Source organism: Homo sapiens, chromosome 1 (assembly GCF_000001405.40).
Source record: "Homo sapiens chromosome 1, GRCh38.p14 Primary Assembly".
In the NCBI taxonomy this organism is placed as follows: Eukaryota; Metazoa; Chordata; class Mammalia; order Primates; family Hominidae; genus Homo; species Homo sapiens.
The window spans coordinates 186,619,074-186,644,261 of NC_000001.11; the positions used below are offsets into that span (position 1 = coordinate 186,619,074).

At 40.0% G+C, this 25,188-nt stretch overlaps 2 annotated features.

Moving 5' to 3' along the window:
• Positions 17,972-18,637: an enhancer, noted in NCBI's record as "H3K27ac-H3K4me1 hESC enhancer chr1:186606177-186606842 (GRCh37/hg19 assembly coordinates)". NCBI's record gives its function as "activates a minimal SCP1, AML or CMV promoter by ChIP-STARR-seq in naive and primed H9 embryonic stem cells {active_cell/tissue: H9 hESC(naive and primed)}" and the evidence as "EXISTENCE:reporter gene assay evidence [ECO:0000049][PMID:30033119]".
• Positions 18,638-19,303: an enhancer, noted in NCBI's record as "H3K27ac-H3K4me1 hESC enhancer chr1:186606843-186607508 (GRCh37/hg19 assembly coordinates)". NCBI's record gives its function as "activates a minimal SCP1, AML or CMV promoter by ChIP-STARR-seq in naive and primed H9 embryonic stem cells {active_cell/tissue: H9 hESC(naive and primed)}" and the evidence as "EXISTENCE:reporter gene assay evidence [ECO:0000049][PMID:30033119]".

The window sequence follows — 25,188 nt, forward strand, 5'->3', positions numbered from 1 at the left end:
ACAGTCAAGCTTGCCCAAATATGAATAAAGCTGTTCACTATTTGAGACTTGTATTGATTTTAATTATTTTTATCATAAAAATTATGCATGCAAATATAAATGGGGACTAAATTTCTTACACTTCCTTATAGTTTTTATACAACATAAAATAAAAATAAGTCTATAAAATAGAAATCCAAGCAAAATTTGAATCATTAACTTAATCAGATGAGCAATATTTTACTGCCCACAATAGGCTAGGTGCTGACAGCTATGGCCCAGGTCTTTTTATTTTTATTTTTAATATATAAATTGCATTGTGTATATTTAAGGTATTTAACAAGATGTTATGGGATACATATAGATAGTAAAAAGATTACTAGAGTGAAGCAAATTAGCATATACATTATCTTAATTACCTTTTTTAAAAATTTATTTTAATCCCAGCACTTTGGGAGGCCGAGGCGGGTGGATCACGAGGTCAGGAGATCAAGACCATCCTGGCAAACAGGGTGAAACCCCGTCTCTACTAAAAAATACAAAAAGTTAGCCGGGCGTGGTGGTGGGCACCTATAGTCTCAGCTACTTGGGAGGCTGAGGCAGGAGAATGGTGTTAATCTGGGAGGCTGAGCTTGCAGTGAGCAGAGGTCACGCCACCGCACTCCATCCTGGGTGACAGAGTGAGACTCCATCTCAAAAAAAAAACCCACAAACAAACAAACAAAAAATTATTTTGAGGGCAAGAGATCTACTCATTTAGCATGAATTCCAAATACAATGTTATTACCTACAGTCCTCATGTCATATATTAGATCTCTAGACTTGGTCATCCTACATATCTTGTACTTTGTGTCCTCTGACCTGTATCTCCTTATTTCACACCACTCCACCCCCACTAAACCACTGTTCATGCTTTACTTCTGTATATTTGAAAATTTTTTTAGATTCCTCATATAAATGAAATCATACAATATTTTTTCTTTCTGTGTCTGGCTTATTTCACATAGAATAATGTCTTCTAGGCTTATCCATTTGTAGTAAGGTCAAGGTCTCATTCTTTTTCAGGGCTGAATAATATTCCATTGTTTTGTATGTACCACACACAGTTTCTTTATCCATTTGTCCATTTACAGACACCTAGATTGTTTCCATATCTTGGCTATTGTGAATAATGCTGCAATGAACACAGGAAAATACAAAAATTAGCTGAGTGTTGTGGCAGGTGCCTGTAATCCCAGATACTCAGAGGCTGAGTCAGGAGAATTGCTTGAACCCAGGAGGCAAAGGTTGCAATGAGCTGAGATAGAACCACTGCCCTCCAGTCTAGGCAACAAAACAAGACTCTATCTTAAAATAAATAAATAAAATAAAATGAACACAGGAGTGCAGGTATCTTTACAAGGTGGTGATTAAATTTGGGGGGTATATGCAAAGATGAGGGATCACGGGGTGATGTGATAGTTCTATATTTAATTTTTTGAGAAGCCTCCATCTTGTTTTCCGTAATGGCTATACCAGTCTACATTCCCAGTGACAACTCACAAGGATTTTTCTCCACATGCCTAGGTTCCTTTGCAGTTGGCCAACATCAGCTGCAATGTGGCATTTATTGACTCCATTTGGCTACAGCTTTTCTCACATTGTCACACAGGGTGCTGGCAGAGTCTAGTGGGTAAGGGCAGAGGCTCTACAGCAAGATCGCCTAGTGGTGTGAATCCTGCTTCTGTTATTAATTACTGACTCTGTGACTTTAGGCAAGTTACCTAATCACTTTGGGATTCAGTTTCCATTTCTGGAAAAGGGTAACAATAATAGTACCTGCAGCAATGGGTTGTGATAATTCAATGGGTTAATGCCTAAAGAATAGAACCTACATAAAAATTTCAATAAATAGTAATTATTATTACTTGTACAGCAGGCTGTGATGTCATCTGGTATATAACACATTATTTATAGTTGACTATTCATAAGCCTGTGTGGTGGCTCTGCAATGTGTTGGCTAGGCCAAGTTATCTTTCCTGTGTGTTTCTGGTTAGAGTAAACCACAAGAAACATTCTTGTGCAAAACTTGGAGGGCATAAGTGAAAAAGCAATTATTTTGTAGCTCACATGCATTGTCATTTATGTCCTGGCTCACGCAATTTGTGTGAGTCAGTGGCTGGGCCTACTACTCTTCTACTTTCCCCTGGATCTTCTTAGAGATTCTCACAGATTCTCTGACTCCCAGGATAGGTGTGTTTGTTTAGCTCCATGGTGAAGCACCCTGACTTCTCCAGGACACCCACACCACTAAGGGCAGAGACAACAAGAACTAACACAAGTTTTAGTCCATCCTCACAGGTTCCAGCTTGTGCTTGTGGGTTCCTGCCTATTCTTAATCTCCTGACTTTACAGGCATCTTCCCTTCTTCACTGTCAGCCTCACGGATTTTTTTTTTTTTTTTTTTTTGAGATAGGGTCTCACTCTGTCACCCAGGCAGCGGCACTATCATAACTCACTGCAACCTCGAACTCCTGGGCTCAAGTGATCCTCCCACCTCAGCCTCTCAAGTAGTTAGCACTACAGGTGCATGACACTAAGCCTGGCAAATTTTTGGATTTTTTGTAGAGACAAAGGTCTCACTATGTTTCCCAGGCTGTTCTTGAACTCCTAGGCTCAAGTGATCCTCTCGCCTTGGCCTCCCAAAGCACTGGGATTATAGGCATGTGCCACTGCTCCCATTCCTGCCTCGCAGATATTAAGATCCGGCATCAGATGCTGATTCTTAACTAGCTCCCATAATTGTGTAAGGTCAAACACCTGTAACAAATCCTTTTAGAGAGAGAGAGAGAGAGATCCCTAATAGTCCTTATTCCCTGATTGAACTCTCTGACTGATATGCCCAGCATAACTAAAATAGTTCCACTTGGCAGCAACATGATTACAGACAAAAATGAAAACATGGGCAATGAAATCCTGTGGGATATTTGGTTATAACAAAGTCACTCATAGAATGCAGAATAGAATTATTTTTGGATGATTATGAAAATGAAATTTTACAATAAAAAATTCTCATAAGATATCCTACATTATGTTGAAAAATATTTCTGTTATTCATTCTTATTTGGCTTTTTACATAGCAAGTTTTGGAGACATTGAATACCTGATGTTCTTGTACTTCCCATTCCCAACTTCTTTTGTTGCAGACACTGTTGCCTTGAACTTTTTGGAGGAAAAAAAGACATACCATAACTCATCCTTTTCTGTTTCCAAACTTATCTCCTGACTCAAAAGAATCCCACCTATCTCTCACAAATATACTTATTCTTTATTCAATCTATCATTTAAAAACATTATTCGGTATCTGCTATATGCTAGACATAGAACTGTTGCTATATATACAAAGACAAATCACTGTATTTTTGTTAAAGGAGCTGAGTTTCTAATACAGGTGAGAAGCAAACAATCTAACAATGACAGTACAGGGCAATGGGTGCCATAATGGGGCCATGCACAGGACTCTACAGAAGAGGTTGCCAGCTCACAATAGGATGTTGGAGAGAGCTTTCCAGAGAGGGAATACTTGGATATTTATTTACCTTTTTTGAGACGGAGTCTCACTCTGTCGCCCAGGCTGGAGTGCAGTGGAGTGATCTTGGCTCACTGCAAGCTCCGCCTGCTGGGTTCACGCCATTCTCCTGCCTCAGCCTCCCAAGTAGCTGGGACTACAGGCGCCCGCCACCACGCCCGGCTAATTTTTTTATGTTTTTAGTAGAGATGGGGTTTCACCATGTTAGCCAGGATGGGCTCGATATCCCGACCTCGTGATCCGCCCGCCTGGGACTCTCAAAGTGCTGGGATTACAGGCGTGAGCCACCGCGCCTGGCCTACTTGCGTTAAATATTACAGTCTGAATAAGGATTAGACTGTAGAAGGTGAAGGATCTTTTGGACTGAAAGAACAGGATTGTAAAGTTCTGGAGGTGCAAGGAAACATGGAATATTTTAGAAAATGTCTAATAGGGACTCACAAGTTCGAAGGTGAGGAGCAAGATCTAGGTTAGAATCACACTGCAGAATTATCTTCACTCAGTAAACAATTGAAGTCGTGGGCGAGAGAATACAGGCTGACCACAAACAGCAGGAAGACGATAGTGGCCAAGGACAGCACTCAGTTGGGCCACAGCACTTTCCAAGGTGAAAAGGAAGGAGAGCATGGGAAGCACACAGAAGGGGAGGCCAGAGAAGATGCAGGAGAGAATTATGTCCTAGAATCCAGATCTGCAAGAAAATTAATTTCTATTGTTTATACCAGTCTTGGGTATTTTGTTGCACAGCACAAATAGACTAAGACAAGGTGATATGCCAAGCACAGTGGCTCATATCTATAATCCCAGCACTTTGGGAAGCTGAGGCAGGCAGATCACCTGAGGTCAGGAGTTTGAGACCAGCCTGGCCATCATGGTGAAACCCTGTCTCTACAATTAGCCAGGCGTGTTGGTGGGTGCCTGTAGTCTCAGCTACTCAGGAGGCTGAGGCAGGAGAAATCGCTGGAACCCAGGAGGCGGAGGTTGCAGTAAGCTGAGATTGTGCCATTGCACTCCAGCCTGGGCGACAAGAACAAAACTCCATCTCAAAAAAAAAAAAAAAAGAAGAAGAAGGTTTATGAATCATTGCGTGTATCCACCAACTTCCTGCCAGGAGGATGCATGCCCCAATAGGGACCGCACTGTAATCCTGGGTCCTATGAGAGGAAGATGAGGAACAGAGCCCTTGCAGATGACCTACTGGTCCTGACATGGACCATGAGGAAAATTTAATGTTTGTTGTTGTAAGCCACTTGGTTTGAGTTGTTTTATCACCTCAGCAAAGCCGATTAGTATAGAATTTGGTGATGGATTTGAAGTATTGCTATTACAAAGTACCTAAAAAGAATATGACATTTAGACTTGTATTTAAGATTGAGCACATTAGCAAATTTGGGGCACAAGGTAATACCTTTATGACGAGAATAAACATTTTTACAGCCCTCTCTGTGTCAGAAGTTTTGAGTCTTCTTAAGTGTTAAGCGTCCATTATTATGTGGCATAAAGAAATAAATTTATTCCAGCTTTTAAATGGATTTTTACTTTTGGCCTCTTCACTGGAGTAGTGACATTTCGACATGATCATTATTTAGGTTGTCATGGATATATTGATTTTCATACTTATTTTGCAGCTAAAATATTTAAATGTTGATATTTTAATTATTACTGTAATTTATGGGTGACTGGACAAGAATTATTATTAGTAGTAGTAGTAGTAGTTTTTTTTTTTTTTTTTTTTTTGAGACGGAGTCTCGCTCTGTCGCCCAGGCTGGAGTGCAGTGGCGCAATCTCAGCTCATTGCAAGCTCCGCCTCCTGGGTTCACGCCATTCTCCCGCCTCAGCCTCCCGAGTAGCTGGGACTACAAGGCGTCCGCGACCACGCCCGGCTAATTTTTTGTATTTTTTTTTTAGTAGAGACACGGTTTCACCATTCACAGGATGGTCTCGATCTCCTGACCTTGTGATCCGCCCGCCTCGGCCTCCGAAAGTGCTGGAATTACAGGCGTGAGCCAACACGCCCGGCCGACAAGAATTATTAATATATGACTGTTCTTAGGCTGTGCCCACTTCATCTATACAGAAGGAGGTTCTGTCACACCCACTGTGATTCTGAAGAGTGTTATGCAGAATCCTGGAATCTGGGAAAAAGTAGCAAGAATAAATGTCACAGACTATTTTTAAACAATTATTATTTAGGAAAAGGAGTAAAAAAGGAAGATAAGCTAAACTCTTCAGGGGCTTGGCAATATCTGAACATGCGACATATTATTAGCAAGACGTGGAAGTTTTAGGTGCAGAAATGAGAGATGTGATCAGGGAGATCTGGGGAACAGAGTAATACTTTTGAGAAAAAGAGTCATCCTGGGTAGGAGGAAAGTGATAACCATCTGGGATTTTCAGGGTGTTGGAGAACTGAAAAGGACAGAAATTGGATTTTTTTTTGATTGTTTGTTTTTGAGACGGAGTCTCACTTCTTTATTTTTTATTTATTTATTTATTTTTTGAGACGGAGTCTCGCTCTGTCGCCCAGGCTGGAGTGCAGTGGTGGGATCTCGGCTCACTGCAAGCTCCACCTCCCGGGTTCACGTCTTTCTCCTGCCTTAGCCTCCGGAGCGGCTGGGACTACAGGCGCCCGACACCACGCCCAGCTAATTTTTTGTATTTTTAGTAGAGACGGGGTTTCACCGTGTTAGGGAGTCTCACTTCTTCACCCAGGCAGGAGTGCAATGACGCGATCTCTGCCCACTGCAACCTCCGTCTCCCGGGTTCAAGCAATTTCCCTGCCTCAGCCTCCCCAGTAGCTGGGATTACAGGCAAGTGCCACCACGCCCGGCTAATTTTCGTATTTTCAGTAGAGACAGGGTTTCACCATGTTTTGGCCAGGCTGGTCTCGAACTCCTGACCTCAAGTAATCCGCCTGTCTTGGCCTCCCAAAATGCCGGGCTTATAGGCAATGAGCCACCGCGCCTGGCCAGAAATTGAAATTTAATGAGTTATTGTAGACTTACGTACTTGGGTTTCTCCTGATGACCTGGGGGAACAACATAAAGAAAAATCAAAATTCTTATTTTTCTGCTCTTCTTTGAATGTAAAACTCCTGACTGAACCATGTGGGTAATGGTTTCCATATAGATTCACATACATGTTAGCTTACCCTCAGTCCATCCCTGATCCCCTTCATCCCTGAGATTTACTCTATCCCTGAGACACACTTAGTCACTCCTACTCTTCCCAAGTAGAACTTCCTTTGATCCCCACCCTAATCCTGACCCTACCCCATTCCTGAGCTTCACTGCATTTCACAAACTTAACCTATATCTTAATGGTGAAAATCAAGAATGAAGTTTAGATATGTGTAAAGATGAAGGTGTTTGTGGTATGTTATTGAATAATTTTTTAATTGTATTTTTAAAGTTTTCTCAAAATTCAACCTAAAATTCTTATTACTGTGTCAAAACTGCCATATCAAAATATTTTCTTCTATTTCTGCTTTCCTCAGTTATTACCATTTTTGATACATCAGGGATTCTTCTCTATAATTTGGAATACATGTTTAAAGGAACATATCTGACCTCTCTGAATTTTGTCCTTGGCCTATGTGATGCCATCAACAGTGAGTTGACCTGAGATTTAAAGCTCAGTAGAGGACAGAGCCACTGAAATTAGATGTGAAGACTGCTAAATTTCAGCCAACAGTAGGTAGGTTGGTTTAAAAATGAAAAAGAAAGCAATTAATTAATTCACTTTAATCTTAAACAAATTATATTAATTACAACCAACTCATATCTGGGTTGTAATCAAAATTAGTCAAAATTCAAGCAACAAAGTTAAAGAAACAGTTTGATCAAATTTTTTTTTTTTTTTGATCACAGGAGTCACAGATTTGGGAAGGACTTTAGTTATTGTTTCTCGGAACAGTGGGAAACACTGCACTGAAACGCTGCTTTTCTGGAAAGCCCTTTTCGTCACAAATCCCTCCCTTCTTTTCTTTCCTTTCCTTCCTCTGTAGCCATGTCAAAAATAAAATTCTAAGCAAGTTTCTTTTGAATCTGTGTCTTTTTTCAACTGAGCTTCTGCAATTCTCTTATCTGCTTGCCCAGCTTGACTCTGTGGTTCAGCATAGCTTTGTTTCTTAGTTGTCTTAGTGACAAAGAGATATTAATAAACACAAATTCTAAACATAGTCTAAACCAATGAATAATAGTTATATCTCAGTGCTGTGACTCCAGGTCTCTGAACTCACCTGCAGTTATTTTCAAGTTTTCTCTAATTGTGAACTCACATGTTACTAGTTTTCTGCCACTGCTCATAAAATTTTGGAATTACTTTCTACAAGCCTTGCTTGAGTTCTCTGATTAAAAATGCAACTTTTTAAAATTATAATATGGTTTTATTTTTAACCCTACCTAATTAGGGACATTTAATATCATCTGTCCTTATTGGGCTATTCAATAAAACTGGCATGCTATTGCTATTTTAGGGCAACCCCACTTTCAGCTGTGCAGCATGTTTATACAACCTACTTTATTTATGCTTTCATTAACAGAAGCCAGAAACTGCTCATATGCTCCTGCAGGAGATGCCAAGGCCCTTCCAGCTCTAGTCCTCAGTTTATAATCAAACAAATCTGGACGTTTTCAGAATAGACCTTATTATGCTTTCAGTTTTTAAATCCTTTCCTGAAATTTCTTATCAACACAAAAGAAACGATACCAAAACAAAACACTGGTAAAGTGAATCAGGCAACTGGTTAAAACAGGAAAAGAAGCTGATTGCAGTTTTTACTTTCTGCATAATGAACACTTTTCAATGAATTAATGGACTCCCCTGATTATGTATTTCAGACTGTTTTAGATCAAAATGATTGAATATTCCCTGTTTAGTTTGATTTTTATAAACTTTCATTATGGTTGTTCATATGAAAGTATTAGCTTTTCTTTCAAACTGGTTACTTACTTTTTTCTCCTGAGAAAGACTTAATTTTTTCTGGATGATGATTTTACTACCCAAACAAGTTTTTCTTAAATAAAAAAACAGATCACTTGTTTTAATAAAATTTTATAAAAGTCAATAGGAAAATATATAAATATTGAGGTACTTTCTATTGGTTTTTAATATAGTGATTGAATAACATAAGTTCAGTGTAAAATATAACTGATAATAAAGCTAAGATTAGAAACAACATTTTTCCCAATCAATGTAATAGGATGACATTAAAAAATTAAGTATTTATAATGTCACTTAATAATTTAGCAGATCTCCATATCTTCCTTCAGATCTTTAATCATATTACTTTCAAAGCAAACATATTAGAAAAATAAGCAGAGTATAAAAAACAAAAACAAAACAAAACTAAGTGCAGCCAGGCATGGTGGCACACCTGTAATCCCAGCACTCTGGGAGGCCAAGGCGGGCGGATCACTTGGGATCTGGAGTTCAAGACCAACCTGGCCAACATGGTGAAATATCATCTCTACTAAGAATACGAAAATTAGCTAGGCATAGTGGTGTGCCCCTTTAGTCCCAGCCACTTGGGAGGCTAAGGCAGGAAAATCACTTGAACCCGGGAAGTGGAGGTTGCAGTGAGCCGAGATCACGCCATTGCACTCCAGCCTGGGCAACAGAGTGAGACTCCACCTCAAAAAACAAACACACAAACAAAAAAAACTAAGTGCTAAACAATCTTCCTAATTTTCACTCACTTTTTAAAAACTTTTTAAAAAGTGTGACATTTCTCAAATCCACTCACATCTTGCTGGCCTCAGAGAAGCTCTGTAACTCCTGTGGAAGAGAACACCATTTTCTGTCAGGTAATGGAAACTATCCATTCTATAATCATCTATGATTTATACAAAGCTTTCATATGATAGTGCTGAGATGCACATCCAGGTCTTCTAATTATGGCTCTCGGGCTCTTTCTTCAAGACTACATTCTTGCTGGCCATGGTGGCTCATGCCTGGAATCCCAGCACTTTGGTACGCCAAGGTGGGAGGACTACCCGAGCCCAGGAGTTCGAGACCAGCCTGGGCAATATAGTGGGAGCTTGTTTCAATGAAAAAATACAAAAATTAGCTGGGCATAGAGGCACATGCCTGTAGGCTCAGCTACCTGGAAGGCTGAGGCAGGAGGATTGCTTGAGCCTGGGAGGTCAATGCTACAGTGAGCCGTGATCATGCCACTGCACTCCAGCCTGGGAGACAGAGCAAGACCAAGTCTCAAATAAATAAACAAAAAGGAGAAATAAGTTCGTTTCCCCTTAGAAAAATTAATTTGTTCAACAGCAATAGAAAAAAATAAAAATATATACAAAGAAAAAAATTTAAAAGATCACATTTTTATCTTTGCATTCATTTTTGAAAAATTGTTTATTTTTTGAGAAGTAAGTAATTATCATGGCCTACATACAAAACTAAGGTTCAGCTATAGATTTAGGTAACTATACCTTCTATACCCTCTAATCCTGTCATACTGCAACCTTCTGAGTCAATGCAGTAGAAACATGTTACAAGTGAAGCAGTGTCAAAGGAAACCCCTGAAAGAAATGTAGATCAGGTCCAAAAATGAACCTGTTATTCCTTGTAATAAAAGTAGAAGTTTGAAAAGTAGAAGGTTGGGTATATTCTATTTTTAAATCATGAGTGGTTTCACACATTACTTTTGGTTACATGTGTTTAGCCAGAACTTAGTTACATGTTCACATTTAGCTACAAAATTAAAGCTAAGAAATACAATCTTTAGCTCTGAGGCCATATTCCTATCAAAATTTCCATTATTATAGAAGTAGAGGACAGATATTGAGGGCACAACTAGAAACCTCTGCCAGTCTGACATTTTAGTGACCAAAAAATCTCTGTGCATACCCATAGGACATATTCACCTCTTAGGCAAGGGAGACAATCCCCAGGAATTATTCATTTACTACATTTGGCTTAAAGTCCAGGATTGCAGGATGATGCAAAGTGCAGTATCCCTGGGTGTTCAGCTGCCTTTCAATTAGGGCTGGATGTGGATCTTATGATCCAGTGATCTATAAACTAAAAGAAATATTTTCTCCACACACCTCTGCCCCAACTGGCATACAAAGATGGGATAGAACAAAATAAGTGCAGTACGTACTCCCATTCAGGAAATGAAAGAATTGGAAATGCATAAAAATGACAGGACCCTAGCAATTTTCAAGTCCCACTAGCAGGAAAAATTGGATAAATTCCCTACCCAGATGGTAGAGTTACTTTGGTTACTCTGTCTTTCAGTTGCTTGTTCCACTTTCTGAAAGGAATTGCCCTGTCCACTGTTTTCTGCGTTTACAACTGAAGTGGGTAGTGGGGCTATGCCCTCCTTAGCAGGCTGAATATCTTTTGAACTTGCTTCTTGAAAATGCAGATTTTCAAATCCAGGAATTTCTTTAGAGATTAAAAAAAAATCATAGGCCTTGTGAGCCAGTCTTATAGGTTTTCAGCAATACATTTTCCTCAAAAACTTGATAAGCTTCTGGTGTTTACAGGCAACCACAGAAATGCATATCATCTAGGCATAGTATGATTGAAATCTCTACTATTTTCCCCCCTGCCTTTGATGCTCTGTCTACCTCCACTCCCGACCCCCAAATTGAAGTTGTCTGAAAGAAGAGCCTTGTATAGGAAGGCAATACTCTTAATCTGACTTTGCCAGGGTGAAGTTTTGCCATGAGCAAGTTCCTCATTACCTGCTTGCAAAATGTTAATGGAGATGCCTTAGAAAGGGTGGGCTACAGCCTGTTTTCCTTAGTGTTACTTCCCTAGAGCCAGAATCACCTTATAACAAGCATGAGTTCATGTCTTTCTTGGGACTTTGGTACAAGAGGCAAGAAGCAGCTGACTAACATTGATATTATGAATTTTTCCAATTATTTCCACTTGAATTATAAGCTCTGTTAGCAAATGGTTTGTATTCAAATTTTGTGACAGTTTTACCAAAACTTTTTAAAAATATAAAACAAGCATTCCTAAGTTTTAATTCTAAAATATCTGTCCTTTTGATACCAATCACCCAGCCACCAAGCTAATACTACACATTTTTAGTTTTGTTATAACAATGCCCTGAATCTAGGAATAAAATTATCAAATTATCTACCTGTTTCAGAAACAGAAATCCTTCTAATTACTTCAGGCAGAAAAGGATTGAAACCCAAAGAGGTAGATGCTTAATAAAGTTTTTGATGAGCAGGAGAAATAGAATTTAGGCAGAACTGACCTCTATGGAAGTTCTCACCTCTGACAGAAAGAAATTATAAGGCTTCCACTAGAGATACTGAATCCAAGAACATACCCCTGTACCTGCGATCCAGAAATCAGGAAACCAAATTAAGAAGTTACCCTTGCTGCTGCCATAATACTTTATAACATCCACAGAGCTGTAATACTGATGCAGAATACCATGCTTCCACAATGTTGCTTGCCAGAAGAAACAGTCAAAGCAACAGGAAAGTGGTCTGCACCTACTCTGCCTTCCAAATCTCTTGCTAATACATCTATTTCATAGAATTTAATTCACATAAAACTCGAGAAGCAAGTGAATCTTGGAAATGTTGTCACTTTCAGCCTCTGAAATAGATGAAGAAATACCTAGAAGAGTATAGTAATAGATGCTGACTGCAAATTATCCACAACAAGCAAAGTATGAAAAAGCTTTAGATAAGATATGAGAATCATCAGCAATAAGATGGTAATTGAAGCCAGTGGAGAGCATGTGATCAAGGGGAAGATGGCAGTGGAAGAAAAAAGTGTGGAGGATAGAAATAATTCAAATTTAAGGAATGATCAGAGAAAGAAAAGCTCCTCCTGCTGCAGACTGAAATGGGAAGGCCAGAGGGAGCTCAGAACCGAGGTTTGAGAAAACAAAAAAAAAGAAGAAAAAAAAAATGCCAGAGACAGAGAACAAGAACAAGAAGAAGAGGAAGAGGCGGAAGAGAAAGAAGAGGAAGAAGAAGAAGAAGAAGAAGAAGAAGAAGGAGAAGGAGAAGGAGAAGGAGAAGGAGAAGGAGAAGAAGAAGAAGAAGAAGAAGAAGAAGAAGAAGAAGAAGAAGAAGAAGAAGAAGAAATACTAATAATGAAACAGGAGAGTAAGTCTAAGAGAAGGGAGGATTAAAAGAAAGAAGGGTAATAACATGGTCAAAGAATGAAGATTTTCAAATCCAGGAATTTCTTTAAAGATTAAAAAAAAAAAACAACAAAAAACAAAAAACACAAGCCTTTGTGACCCAGTAAGAAAAGGATTAAAATGGGTACTGGGTTAAGTAACAAAGACATAACCCTGGTGATGTTGTTTCATTGGAATGATGGGAGTAAGAGACAGACTCAGTGAGCTGAAAAATGAATGCGATCTGAGAATGAGGAGGTAGGGAGTGTCAACGATCCCGGCAATAACTCTGCCCATAAAACTACAGGGCAGGTGTAGGATATTAGCTCAAAGTAGATTTGGAGAAAAGAAGATAAATATATTCTCGCCTTTTTTAAGATGGGAGGTAGTTGAGAATATATAAACATTAAATTGGAAAGACAAAAGAAGGGATTGAGAGGTTGAAATGTAGAAAACAAGAGAAAAACTAATGAAAGGTGATTCTTGAGGGCAGATAATGGAATTCAGAGCAGAAGTAAAATAAATGACTTTGCATGGTGTGACGGTTAATTTTATGTCTCAACTTGATTGGATGAATGGATACCCATATAGTTGGTAAAACATTATTTCTAGGTGTGTCTGTGAAGGTGTTTTTAGCATGTGAATCAGCAGACTGAGTAAAGAAGATCCTCTCTCACCAATGTGGGCAGACATCATTCAGTCCATTAAAGGCCTGGATGGAACAAAGGAGCAGGGGAAGGTCTCTCTCTTTCTCTCTCAGGGGAAGATTTTTTTTTTTCTCTCTCTCTTTTTATTTCTTCTTTCTTTTCTCTCTCCTTGAGCTGGGACATCCATCTTCTCCTGCCCTGCGGATGTTGTTGCTTCTGGTTCTGGGGCTTTGCACTGTGGTACTTACGCCATCTCCTCACTCAGCCCCGCAGGCCTTTGGCTTCAGATTGGGAGTTACATCACTGGCTTCTTAGGCCTTTGGACTTGGACTGAATAATACCACTGTTTTTTCTGGATCTCCAGCTTGCAGATGACATTTCATAAAACTTCTCGGTCTCCATAATGATGGCCAATTTCCATAATAAATCTCCTCCTATACATGTATCTACAGATACTCTATTCATTCTGTTTGTCTGAAGAACCCTGACGAATATAGGTGGGAAAGAAAACAGCTTTCCTATTGTTGCAGGGGAAATGGAAATGAATGGGTTCAGATGCAGGTAAGATTGGATGGTGAGGCATGAGATGGAGAGAAAATCACTGCTGATTTCTATTTTTTTCACACATGAAAATAGAAAAGGTCCTTTGTTATATCGAAGAGACATGTAGTGAGTTGTATGATCCTTGAAAAGTTGAGAATATTTGAGTCTATACTTATATCGCAGATCAATAACCTTCTGGTGAAGAGGAGCTGCTTGATATTGATTAAAGTCTTTCATTCACTAGTTGAGTGGGAGAGAGGAGATGCTGAGAGTGTGTGTCAGTTTCCTAGGGCTGCCATCATAAAGTGCCAACTGGATGGCTTAGAATAACAGAAATTCATTGTCTTACATTTCCGGAGGCCAGAAGTCCAAAATCAAGATGTTGGCAAAACTATGCTTCCTCTTGAAACTGCCATTGCAAAATTATAACTGAGTCAGTGAAAGAGATCTGACCTAACCAACTCCTTGCTTCTAACCTCCAGGCTGTCCTTGTTCATTCCTGGGCATAGGCTGAACTAACTTCTGGAGGAACTTAGTTTTAGTTTAAAACAAAGACAATAGATAACAGCCCTTTCCTAAAACAAACCTCCTTCTTTCCTGGGGACTAGACTGCCTTTGTAGGACTAATGAATTAGGCACAAGATTAGCAATTATGGGTTAGGAATGCAGCTGGTGGCTACGAGATTTCTGACCCTCCCTAAACTGCTCCTAAGATCAGTGCTGGAGCTATTTTGCAGACCCTGAACTTGACAGATCAACTGGCCCCACCCAGATCAATAAACTGGCTCATGTGATCTTGTGGCAACCCCCGCCCACCCCGGCAACCCAGGAATTAACTCAGTGCAGTAAGACAGCTTTGACTCCCTAGGATTTCATCTCTGAACTGACCAATCAGCACTCCCAGCTCACTGGCTTCCCCCGACCCACCAAATTGCCCTTAAAAACTCTGATCCCCGAATGCTCAGCGAGACTGATTTGAGTAATAATAAAACTCTGGTCTCCCATGCAGCTGGCTCTATGTGAATTACACTTTCTCTATTGCAATTCCCCTGCCTTATAAATTGGCTGTGTCTAGGCAGTGGGCAAGGTGAACCCATTGGGCAGTTGCACTCTGAAGGTGCTAGGGAAAAATGTTTCAGGTCCCTCTCCTGGTTCCTGGTAGCTTCTGGGTAGGTGACAGCATAACTCCAGTTTTCACATGATGGGCTCCTTGTGTGTGTGTGTCTGTGTCTAAATTTGCCTTTCTATACAGACACCAGCCAGATTGGATTAGTGTTCCACCCTACTCCAGTATGACCTCATTTTAACTTAACTAATTATGACTTTAAGGATTCTGTTTCCATATAAGGTCATAATCAGGTACTGAGGGTTTGAACTTCAACATATAAATTTGGTGGAAGGGGCACAGTTAAACCCTAGCAATGTCGGAGATGTAGTAGAGTCAGTCATCTATTAAATACCAATCTCCTAATATCCTAGGGATATTATGAGGATTAAAGAAGGTAATACATGTAAAACACTTAGCACAAACTCTGGAATATAAAAAGTGCTCATTAAATTAGTTAAGAATCCTGGCTTTCTGTCAATAACTAGCAACTATTACTGTAAAAATAATAATGAGTATTCAATATATTCTTTAATTTATTTATAAATTCTACACTCTCATTTGTGCTAGGCCTTGTGTTCATAGAAGGCATATAAAGATAAAGGAGATTAAAAACAAATATTTGTTGGATGAATGAGCTAACAGTTTAATGAGGCAGAAAGGCATAAAAACAATTATGGGTCAGTGAAGCAAGTGCAAAAAAGGCTACGGTGTCCTATAGGAAGGGCTGGAGGACCAGAGATGCCTTTAGCAACAGATGATAGCCAAATGTTTGTCTCTGCCTACATGCCCTGGAGTAGTAGAAGATGGGCACCACAACGCTGATTTTTTTTTTTTTTTTACAATTACTTCATAGAAAATAACTGAGTATGCCATCTCCCTCCAAACTATGGTAGTATGTTTTTATCTTGACAGTTACCAAAAGCTAAGGAATTGATTTTTCAAGTTTAGAAGATTTAAGTCAAAACATGTATAGCTCAGAGGAAGAATTTAGAATATTAGTAACAGAACAAGTATATTATCATAAATAATATTTGATGAGGATACTTATGAAGTGTATCAAAGTTTAAAAGTTGGACTTGTCATTTGTTCCTTTGTGACCAATAGAAAGTAGGGAAAGAACTCACTGGTCACAGGTGTCTTTGATTATTGTCACTCAGGAACACAAGCTGATGAAGGCATTACCTAGGAACTGTTTCATTACCACTGGGACAAAGAAAGCAAATGTGGTTTATCATGCTCTGACTTCGGGAGTTTCTGTTTGGAAGTGACAACTATCATTTCCACTCTTTCTCCCTTACCATGAAATTCTGTTCAATTAATAGATGGATTTTCCTAACTATAGAAAATACGTCTTAATCTATAGCTTACATAGGATTTCAGAGGTGTTGTTATTTCCTGAAAATATAAACAAAATTTGAGGTTTTTATTTTTTGCTATATGAATATTTTTCTGAAGAGAACTGTTCATAGTTTTTCTAGTTTCCCATGAAGCTCATAACCCATAAAAGCTCAAAAATAGGCTGGGCACAGTGGCTCATGCCTGTAATCCCAGCACTTTGGGAGGCCGAGGTGGGCAGATCACTTGAGGTTAGGAGCCTTGAGAACAGCTTGGCCAACATGGTGAGACCCTGTCTCTACATAAATACAAAAATTAGCCAGGTGTGGCGGGCACCTGTAATCCCAGCTACTGGGGAGACTGAGGCAGATGAATTGCTTGAACCCAGGAGGTAGAGGTTGCAGTGAGCTGAGATTGTGCCACTGCACTCCAGCCTGGGTGATTCAGCGAGATTCAGTCTCAAAAAAAAAAAAAAAAAAAGAAAATCAAGAACAACCACTATAGAAGCCCATATTTGTAAATTCTTGTATCAGTGAACACTTGCATGACAACTTAACATTAATCAGTAAATAGTAGGTATAATTGGGATGTGAGTTGGAGAGTACACTGCTTTGAAGAGGGACAAGAGGGAGACAGGCCTTGGGGCTGACTGTTTGTGCCCCCACTCCTGCTCTTGCTTCAACTAGAACATCTCTTCTTCCGTGCATTTTATATGATAATATTCCATGTTCTCTCTCCCTTTCTCTCAGTCTCTCTCGACAACAGAAATCAATATTAAAAATATTCAGAAATCTGGCTGGGCGTGGTGGCTCATGCCTGTAATCCCAGCACTTTGGGAGGCCAAGGTGTGCAGATCACCTAAGGTCAGGAGTTGGAGATCAGCCTGGTGAAACCCAGTCTCTACAGAAAATGCAAAAATTAGCTGGGCGTGGTGGTGGAAGCCTGTAATCCCAGGTATTTGAGCCAGGAGAACTGCTTGAACCTGGGAGGCAGAGGTTGCAGTAAGCCGAGATCAGGCCACTGCACTCCAGCCTGGGCAACAGAGCAAGACTCTGTCAAAAAAAAAAATAAATTCAGAAATCACTAATGTAAATTGGATACAAGAGCACAGTGAGCTGTCTTTAAGAACTTGGAAATGAGGTTGACTTCTGACAGTTAAACTATAAAATCCAAACTAAGAAATAAAATAAGAAATATATGATGTTGGCTGGACTTGAAGAAAAAAAAGAAATAGACATAATCATTTCGAAGAAAGAGGGAGGTTCTCAGGCCTGCATAAGAATTGACTCAGTCCAATCAGTAATATTAATGTTTCTAAATAAATGATGTGTCTCTCTGAAAAGACCAAGGAAAGCACAGAGTGATCAGCAATAGACCACCATGGAAAAACGAAAGTCAGAGGACTTCTCCGTCCCCAGTCCTGAACAGAAAAACTCGTGCAAATGAATCCATCAGATTGGATTTGTTGGACTTCAAATTCTGTCCTTCTCTCTTGACTCTTCTGTCTGCATCCAAAGAGAAGGGATTTTCCTACTCATACTTCTGGCTCATCCCCAAGGAAAAAGGAATTGCTAATCACTCTGCCTGGGGGAAAGGGTACAGGTGTGGAAAGGACTCAAGGAGAAAGTGGAAAAGCTGTCTTTAAGCATGACTAAGAAAGCCCAGTGGAAAAGGCAGGTTATGAGGTGTGGCAAAGACGGAGGAAAAGTCATTCCAGGTAGAGGGAAAGGCTGTATGCCTGCATAGAGGCATGATAAAGTTTGGCACTTTTGGGGAGCTGGCAATCCTTTTTGCCTAGAAATTACAAAAGAAATGAAAAAAAAATTAAGGGAGAGGATGGTGGGGAATGACGCTAGAAAATGAAGCACTAAACGAGTGGTGAAAATAAGTGATAGTAAGGAGAGTCTCTGATGATTTCTTAATTTAAAATAGAGAAGGGAAGTGAATAAAAAATTCATTATAAGGGAGGAGCCAAGATGACCGAATAGGAACAGCTCCGGTCTACAGCTCCCAGCGTGAGCGACGCAGAAGACAGTGATTTCTGCATTTCCATCTGAGGTACTGGGTTCATCTCACTAGGGAGTGCCAGACAGTGGGCGCAGGTCAGTGGGTGCGCGCACTGTGCGCGAGCCGAAGCAGTGCGAGGCATTGCCTCACTTGGGAAGCGCAAGGGGTCAGGGAATTCCCTTTCCAAGTCAAAGAAAGGGTTGACGGACGGCACCTGGAAAAATCAGGTCACTCCCACCCGAATACTGCGCTTTTTCGACGGGCTTAAAAACCGGCGCACCACGAGATTATATCCCACACCTGGCTCGGAGGGTCCTACGCCCACGGAGTCTCGCTGATTGCTAGCACAGCAGTCTGAGATCAAACTGCAAAGTGGCAGCGAGGCTGGGGGAGGGGCGCCTGCCATTGCCCAGGCTTGCTTAGGTAAACAAAGCAGCTGGGAAGCTCGAACTGGGTGGAGCCCACCACAGCTCAAGGAGGCCTGCCTGCCTCTGTAGGCTCCACCTCTGGGGGCAGGGCACAGACAAACAAAAAGACAGCAGTAACCTCTGCAGACTTAAATGTCCCTGTCTGACAGCTTTGAAGAGAGCAGTGGTTCTCCCAGCACGCAGCTGGAGATCTGAGAATGGGCAGACTGCCTCCTCAAGTGGGTCCCTGACCCCTGACCCCCGAGCAGCCTAACTGGGAGGCACCCCCCAGCAGGGGCACACTGACACCTCATATGGCAGGGTATTCCAACAGACCTGCAGCTGAGGGTCCTGTCTGTTAGAAGGAAAACTAACAAACAGAAAGGACATCCACACCAAAAACCCATCTGTACATCACCATCATCAAAGACCAAAAGTAGATAAAACCACAAAGATGGGGAAAAAACAGAAAAGAAAAACTGGAAACTCCAAAAAGCAGAGCGCCTCTCCTCCTCCAAAGGAACGCAGTTCCTCATCAGCAACGGAACAAAGCTGGATGGAGAATGACTTTGACAAGCTGAGAGAAGAAGGCTTCAGACGATCAAATTACTCTGAGCTACGGGAGGACATTCAAACCAAAGGCAAAGAAGTTGAAAACTTTGAAAAAAATTTAGAAGAATGTATAACTAGAATAACCAATACAGAGAAGTGCTTAAAGGAGCTGATGGAGCTGAAAACCAAGGCTCGAGAACTACGTGAAGAACGCAGAAGCCTCAGGAGCCGATGCGATCAACTGGAAGAAAGGGTATCAGCAATGGAAGATGAAATTAATGAAATGAAGCAAGAAGGGAAGTTTAGAGAAAAAAGAATAAAAATAAATGAGCAAAGCCTCCAAGAAATATGGGACTATGTGAAAAGACCAAATCTACGTCTGATTGGTGTACCTGAAAGTGACGGGGAGAATGGAACCAAGTTGGAAAACACTCTGCAGGATATTATCCAGGAGAACTTCCCCAATCTAGCAAGGCAGGCCAACGTTCAGATTCAGGAAATACAGAGAACGCCACAAAGATACTCCTGGAGAAGAGCAACTCCAAGACACATAATTGTCAGATTCACCAAAGTTGAAATGAAGGAAAAAATGTTAAGGGCAGCCAGAGAGAAAGGTCGGCTTACCCTCAAACGGAAGCCCATCAGACTAACAGCGGATCTCTCAGCAGAAACCCTACAAGCCAGAAGGGAGTGGGGGCCAATATTCAACATTCTTAAAGAAAAGAATTTTCAACCCAGAATTTCATATCCAGCCAAACTAAGCTTCATAAGCAAAGGAGAAATAAAATACTTTACAGACAAGCAAATGCTGAGAGATTTTTCACCACCAGGCCTGCCCGAAAAGAGCTCCTGAAGGAAGCGCTAAACATGGAAAGGAACAACTGGTACCAGCCGCTGCAAAATCATGCCAAAATGTAAAGACCATCAAGACTAGGAAGAAAGTGCATCAACTAACGAGCAAAATAACCAGCTAACATCATAATGACAGGATCAAATTCCACATAACAGTATTAACTTTAAATGTAAATGGACTAAATGCTCCAATTTAAAGACACAGACTGGCAAATTGGATAAAGAGTCAAGACCCATCAGTGTGCTGTATTCAGGAAACCCATCTCATGTACAGAGACACACATAGGCTCAAAATAAAAGGATGGAGGAAGATCTACCAAGCAAATGGAAAACAAAAAAAGGCAGGGGTTGCAATCCTAGTCTCTGATAAAACAGACTTTAAACCAACAAAGACCAAAAGAGACAAAGAAGGCCATTACATAATGGTAAAGGGATCAATTCAACAAGAAGAGCTAACTATCCTAAATATATATGCACCCAATACAGGAGCACCAAGATTCATAAAGCAAGTTCTGAGTGACCTACAAAGAGACTTAGACTCCCACACATTAATAATGGGAGACTTTAACACCCCACTGTCAACATTAGACAGATCAACGAGACAGAAAGTCAACAAGGATACCCAGGAATTGAACTCAGCTCTGCACCAAGCGGACCTAATAGACATCTACAGAACTCTCCACCCCAAATCAACAGAATATACATTTTTTTCAGCACCACACCATACCTATTCTAAAATTGACCACGTGCTTGGAAGTAAAGCTCTCCTCAGCAAATGTAAAAGAACAGAAATTATAACAAACTATCTCTCAGACCACAGTGCAATCAAACTAGAACTCAGGATTAAGAATCTCACTCAAAACTGCTCAACTACATGGAAACTGAACAACCTGCTCCTGAATGACTACTGGGTACCTAACGAAATGAAGGCAGAAATAAAGATGTTCTTTGAAACCAACGAGAACAAAGACACAACATACCAGAATCTCTGGGACGCATTCAAAGGAGTGTGTAGAGGGAAATTTATAGCACTAAATGACCACAAGAGAAAGCAGGAAAGATCCAAAATGGACACCCTAACATCACAATTAAAAGAACTAGAAAAGCAAGAGCAAACACATTCAAAAGCTAGCAGAAGGCAAGAAATAACTAAAATCAGAGCAGAACTGAAGGAAATAGAGACACAAAAAACCTTTCAAAAAATTAATGAATCCAGGAGCTGGTTTTTTGAAAGGATCAACAAAATTGATAGACCGCTAGCAAGACTAATAAAGAAAAAAAGAGAGAAGAATCAAATAGATGCAATAAAAAATGATAAAGGGGATATCACCACCGATAGCACAGAAATACAAACTACCATCAGAGAATACTACAAACACCTCTACGCAAATAAACTAGAAAATCTAGAAGAAATGGATAAATTCCTCGACACATACACTCTCCCAAGACTAAACCAGGAAGAAGTTGAATCTCTGAATAGACCAATAACAGGATCTGAAATTGTGGCAATAATCAATAGCTTACCAACCAAAAAGAGTCCAGGACCAGATGGATTCACAGCCGAATTCTACCAGAGGTACAAGGAGGAACTGATACCATTCCTTCTGAAACTATTCCAATCAATAGAATAAGTGGGAATCCTCCCTAACTCTTTTTATGAGGCCAGCATCATTCTGATACTAAAGCCAGGCAGAGACACAACCAAAAAAGAGAATTTTAGACCAATATCCTTGATGAACATTGATGCAAAAATCCTCAATAAAATACTGGCAAAATGAATCCAGCAGCACACCAAAAAGCTTATCCACCATGATCAAGTGGGCTTCATCCCTGGGATGCAAGGCTGGTTCAATATACGCAAATCAATAAATGTAATCCAGCATATAAACAGAGCCAAAGACAAAAACCACATGATTATCTCAATAGATGCAGAAAAAGCCTTTGACAAAATTCAACAACCCTTCATGCTAAAAACTCTCAATAAATTAGGTATTGATGGGATGTATTTCAAAATAATAAGAGCTATCTATGACAAACCCACAGCCAATATCATACTGAATGGGCAAAAACTGGAAGCATTCCCTTTGAAAACTGGCACAAGACAGGGATGCCCTCTCTCACCACTCCTATTCAACATAGTGTTGGAAGTTCTGGCCAGGGCAATTAGGCAGGAGGAGGAAATAAAGGGTATTCAATTAGGAAAAGAGGAAGTCAAATTGTCCCTGTTTGCAGACGACATGATTGTATATCTAGAAAACCCCATTGTCTCAGCCCCAAATCTCCTTAAGCTGATAAGCAACTTCAGCAAAGTCTCAGGATACAAAATCAATGTACAAAAATCACAAGCATTCTTATACACCAACAACAGACAAACAGAGAGCCAAATCATGAGTGAACTCCCATTCACAATTGCTTCAAAGAGAATAAAATACCTAGGAATCCAACTTACAAGGGATGTGAAGGACCTCTTCAAGGAGAACTACAAACCACTGCTCAAGGAAATAAAAGAGGATACAAACAAATGGAAGAACATTCCATGCTCATGGGTAGGAAGAATCAATATCGTGAAAATGGCCATACTGCCCAAGGTAATTTACAGATTCAATGCCATCCCCATCAAGCTACCAATGACTTTCTTCACAGAATTGGAAAAAACTACTTTAAAGTTCATATGGAACCAAAAAAGAGCCCGCATCACCAAGTCAATCCTAAGCCAAAAGAACAAAGCTGGAGGCATCACACTACCTGACTTCAAACTATACTACAGGGCTACAGTAACCAAAACAGCATGGTACTTGTACCAAAACAGAGATATAGATCAATGGAACAGAACAGAGCCCTCAGAAATAACACTGCATATCTACAACTATCTGATCTTTGACAAACCTGAGAAAAACAAGCAATGGGGAAAGGATTCCCTGTTTAATAAATGGTGCTGGGAAAACTGGCTAGCCATATGTAGAAAGCTGAAACTGGATCCCTTCCTTACATCTTATACAAAAATCAATTCAAGATGGATTAAAGACTTAAACGTTAGACCTAAAACCATAAAAACCCTAGAAGAAAACCTAGGCATTACCATTCAGGACATAGGCATGGGCGAGGACTTCATATCTAAAACACCAAAAGCAATGGCAACAAAAGACAAAATTGACAAATGGGATCTAATTAAACTAAAGAGCTTCTGCACAGCAAAAGAAACTACCATCAGAGTGAACAGGCAACCTACAAAATGGGAGAAAATTTTCACAACCTACTCATCTGACAAAGGGCTAATATCCAGAATCTACAATGAACTCAAACGAATTTACAAGAAAAAAACAAACACCACCATCAAAAAGTTGGCGAAGGACATGAACAGACACTTCTCAAAAGAAGACGTTTATGCAGCCAAAAACCACATGAAAAAATGCTCATCATCACTGGGCATCAGAGAAATGCAAATCAAAACCACAATGAGATACCATCTCACACCAGTTAGAATGGCAATCATTAAAAAGTCAGGAAACAACAGGTGCTGGAGAGGATGTGGAGAAATAGGAACACTTTTACACTGTTGGTGGGACTGTAAACTAGTTCAACCCTTGTGGAAGTCAGTGTGGCGATTCCTCAGGGATCTAGAACTGGAAATACCATTTGACCCAGCCATCCCATTACTGGGTATATACCCAAAGGACTATAAATCATGCTGCTATAAAGACACATGCACGCGTATGTTGATTGCGACATTATTCACAATAGCAAAGACTTGGAACCAACCCAGATGTCCAACAATGATAGACTGGATTAAGAAAATGTGGCACATATACACCATGGTATACTATGCAGACATAAAAAATGATGAGTTCATGTCCTTTGTAGGGACATGGATGAAATTGGAAATCACCATTCTCAGTAAACTATCGCAAGAACAAAAAACCAAACACTGCATATTCTCACTCATAGGTGGGAATTGAACAATGAGATCACATGGACACAGGAAGGGGAATATCACACTCTGGGGACTGTTGTGGGGTGGGGGGAGGGGGGAGGGACAGCATTGGGAGATATACCTAATGCTAGATGACAAGTTAGTGGGTGCAGCGCACCAGCATGGCACATGAATACATATGTAACTAACCTGCACAATGTGCACATGTACCCTAAAACTTAAAGTATAATAAAAAAAAATTCATTGTAAACATTAGTGTGCTATAGTACTTTGACAATGGAAATTGAGGGAAGAAAGTGTTTAGGAAGTGTTTATAGAAGGAAATGTTTATAAAAGAACAGTAGAGTGGGACAGATTAGAAGTTGCTGATGGGGAAGAAGGATCATATAATATGAGTCTCTACTATGATATTAATTAATGAATTATAGAAATACAGGGATGATCAAATTGGTGGGGGAAGTCTATGAATTCAACTTTGCATATATGGACTTTGAGAAACTTCTGAGAAAACCAGGTGAAGCTAGTTCATTGTCAGTTAGGTAAAGGAGTCTGTAACCAAGAAAAAGGTATGAGCAAAAGATAAAGATTTGTAAGTCACTGACATTCAGTTGGCAGCCTAGGTGACAGAAATGGAAAAGAGAGCCAGAGAGAAAATATAGATTGAAGAGAAATGAATCATTGTCATTGCATAACAGCTGAATCATCAGATGGGATTCTCTGGTCTGTCTACTAGTTGTATTTTTAAAAGACCTGGGTAGGGCTGAATTGTCCCAAAAAGCAACGAGTAATCTCATTAGTGTCCCTCTCGCAAGGGTGGAGAAGGTAAGTTTGCTGGTCTTTTTTTCTTTTTTCTTTCAATTCTTCCCATCCTTTCCATTCCTTTTGCTTTCAATGCTTCTCTCCCCCCATAATACCTGTATCTACATAGTGCTCATTACCTTATTCCAAAACCATTCTTTGCTTCATAGACTGTATATTTTGAGGGTCATGTCCTGAACAGATAAATGAATGAGGGAGTCTGAGACAATTTTATTTTTCTTTTATGATTTTAAACTGTCTGAACAATTGATGAACCTACATTGACACATTCTCACTAGAATCCATAGTATACATTAGGGTTCACTCTTGGTGTTGTGCATTCAAT